The sequence below is a fragment of the Homo sapiens genome, chromosome 17 (assembly GCF_000001405.40).
Source record: "Homo sapiens chromosome 17, GRCh38.p14 Primary Assembly".
Taxonomy (NCBI): Eukaryota; Metazoa; Chordata; class Mammalia; order Primates; family Hominidae; genus Homo; species Homo sapiens.
The window spans coordinates 57,545,701-57,549,332 of record NC_000017.11 but is presented as its reverse complement, the minus strand read 5'-3'; the positions used below and the strand labels follow the sequence as shown (position 1 = coordinate 57,549,332).

At 48.3% G+C, this 3,632-nt stretch overlaps 1 protein-coding gene across 12 annotated transcripts in view; it reads right to left on the bottom strand.

Moving 5' to 3' along the window:
• The window catches only part of MSI2 (musashi RNA binding protein 2), a 445,731-nt gene that overhangs the window by 152,249 nt on the left and 289,850 nt on the right, over positions 1-3,632 (bottom strand). The window lies entirely within an intron of this gene.

The following is a 3,632-nucleotide window of genomic DNA, read 5'->3' as shown; positions in this document are numbered from 1 at the left end:
CAAAAAAAAAAAAAAAAAAAGGGCAGTGGGGAGGTGGGCTTGTTTTCGCAAAGCATAAACCCCTGCAGGCTAGGCACCAAGCCCACATAACTGGCCAAGTCTTAGATGGCAGCATGCACAATTAGATGCTTAATATATACTCATTAACAATTCTGTCGGCCGGCGCCCGGCGGCTCACGCCTGTAATCCTAGCACTTTGGAAGGCCCAGGTGGGAGAATCACTTAAGCCCAGGTGTTCAAGACCAGCCTGGGCAACATAGTGAGACCAAGCCTTTTAAAAAACAAACAAATAAAATAATTCTGTCTTTGGAAAAGTCAAAAGTTTGGTGTCTATGTGTGCAGACAATGTCCAGGGCTTGTGAGAATAACCACTGTAAAGTCCAAAGATCTTTTCAGTGGGAGATGATTTTTTTTGGCGGGGGGGTGGGGGGGGGAAGGGTAAACAAACAGTGAGAAGTAAGGGGTGAAGAGGTGAACACACACAAAAATTGCCGAGTGTCTAAACACTGCTCATTAAAAAGCACTTCTTCCCTGGGGTTATCCGGGCTGACTCCGAATGGCCATCTGACCCAGGAAACTCTAGGACTTTGCTTCATGAAGTGGAGTTTGAGAGCAAACCCTCTCCCTCTGCACCACCCCCACCCGCTCCCAGCCCCCCACACCAAACTTCTCCAGCCCTAGTGTTTACAGCTCACTACACCACAAATCTTTATTTCCTGTCACCCACTGGCCCGAGCTGTCCCTACTCCCTGTTTCTCCCAGACAAGTTAATAAGACGGAAGGCTCCCTAGAGGCCCGGAGCCTGCGAACATTATCACTTGGAAGCAAGGCAGAAATCCTGACACATCGGAAATGACTTCAAGCCTATTAATTACCCTTTCTTCTTTGGCAGATCTTTTGAAAGAAAGCTTGACAAATTGAAAGGAAGGCTATCACTGCCTCTCCGCCCCAATTAAGCCCCCACTCCCACCCCAATAACACAAATCTGATTTTTTTTTTAAACGAATTAATATGTCAGAGCTGCACCCACCCCAGGGAGGCCCACCTATGATCTGCATGGACAGGGATACAAAGGGTAAGCCCCTCTGTACAGGTTAAGCCCTTGAAATCTGAGAGACCCAGGGAGCTGTTAAGAAGAAGGGAGTGGTCAGGGCTTTGGACCCCAGAGTTGGTTTTCCTAGGACATTCACAGTGAGCCCAAACCCCTCTACACACACTGGGAGGAGGATGCCACGATGCGTACTAAAGAGCGTCCACATCTATGGGATCTCTCTTCCCTGTTGGGGTGGATGCAATGATGCTTTGATTCTTGAATGCAACATCATTCACAAAACACTCTGGATGAACTGCAACAGAAAAGCACAGGGGACCCTGAATGCTAGAAAAACTGGAGTGTTTAGGGACCAAACAACCACCCTTTCTCCAAGTTTCACTGTCTACCACACTGATGATAAAATCTACTCAGAGTTCCCCTGAAACAATCCTTTCCTTAGAGAGGTTTATGCAAAAACAATTGGGTAGGTTATGTTAATTCTCCAGAGACGTGTGTGTGTGTGTGTGTGTGTGTGTGTGTGTGTGTGTGTGTGTGTGTACTTTTTGTCTATGCAACTACTAAACATCACCAAATGGATCCCAATGGGAATTTCAAACAGAACAACTGATTTTCTTCTTAAAATGTGTTCCTTCCACCAAAGCAGTCCCCATACTATTGAATAGCACTACCATCCCTCAAGAGCTCAACCCAAGAACCTAGAGTTCACTCTAATTTTTCTCTCTCCCCTCACCTCATAACCCATTTCCAATCCATCAGAATCTACCATAACTTGTCTCCAAATATAAATTTTAAATCCCACTGCCTCTCCCCACCTCCACTGTACAACCCTCACCCAAGACGCCATCAGCTCTCCACTGCACTTCTCCAATAAACTTCCACTGGCCACCCTGCTTCCAAACATGCATCCCCGTCCTTCCTTAATTCAGGGAGCCACTGGGATCTTTCTAGAGCACCAGCCATATGCCTCTGCCCTTCTGACCTCCTCCTGAGGGTTCCCATCTGCCTTGCCTGGCTCACAAGTCATTTACCATCCAGCGCTTGTCTGCCTCTCTCAGTCATCTCTACCACTGTCCCTCTTGGAGGCCCCAGCCCTCCACCTGTCCTACCAACACATCAATCAGTTCCTTCCCATGCCAGGTCCTGCACACTTGCTGTTATCTGCTCCTTGGAATGCCTTTCTCACAGTTCTCTGCCTCCCAAGTCCAAGGCCTATTCCTCAGGGAGGCCACTCCCAGCTACCCACCTAAACAGAGTAGGCCCAGGCCCCCTCGCCAACAGCTCCCTATTTTCTCTTCTTCTTAGCCCTCAGCAGTACCTGAAATCGTGTGATGTATGTTCCTTCTCCCCGCAGAACATGAGCTCAGGAGGGCTGGGATTTGGCCTGCCTTGTTCCCTGCAGTACTGCCAGAACTAGCATTGCACCTGGAACATGGAAGGGCCCAGGACACAGTGGCCGTGGGACAAGAGCATGAAGCCCCAGAGCCTCAAGCACAGATGTACCTCTCCTGGGGCAGGGGGTTTCACTCTGCCCCACAGCGGGAGGCTACAGCCTGGCCATCCTGGGGAAACCCAAAGGGAACACATGGACAGATCAGCATCCACTCTCAGAAGTGCCAATGACTTCAAGCTGGAATCCACCCACAGCCTGGTCGTCCCTGGCTGCCCAGGAGAGGCCTTTATCACCATGCCACACAGCCTTCCAAGGGCATTCTTGGATTTGAATCCCCATGCCTAGGTTTGATAAAGGCAAGGCCACCCACCAGAGCCCTATTTTTCTGGTGTATTTTTTACCCTATCTCATTTTAAACTCAAACAAAATCTTTAAGCCATTACCCAGGAAATCATCATTAAATCATTTGTTCGTTTTTATTAGCATCACAGTAATTAAGGAGAATCATATTTCAGAAATCTTCGGCTGCACTTATCAAAACCCACCCTCCAACCAATCAATTAGTATTACAATAACCGCGGTCCCTTGTTGCCGCTGCTATTAGCATTTTGATTGAATGTCTGTTGAAAAGTGACTGGTGACAGAAGATTGTGTTCAGAAAGTAATGTTTCTTTATTCATTACCACCGAACCTTGTCTGGTTGTCTCCAGTCTCGGCTCAAAAGAGACAAGACAGTTTCCAAAAGCAGTCATTTTGGTGGTGGATTGTATTTTCATGAGGTGCGTGATAAATTGGGCATAATCGCCCCGGAATCTCCAGTTACACACAGGGGCCTCCCGCTGACTGTGGCCTTCGCACCCAGCAGCTGCCCCTCGGCTGTCGAGCCCTGACGGGATGATAAGTGTCCCCTCTGCTGCCTCACCCTCCCCCACCCCAATAATCTAGGACAATAAATACCAGGTCTTCACAAATGGCACTTCAGGCGACTCAGATGTAATAATGCCTGCGCCAGATAAGCCGGTGGCCGCTGTTATTCCCACGAAAGATCATCATCATTATACACCCCCTTCTCTGCCAGGCACTTGGGAAACCTGTTATTCTAACATTCAGACTTATGTTCTCCAGTCGTCATAATAATAATAAAAGCACCAGTCAGTACAGAGATGGGTTAACGAGCTCCATTATGGG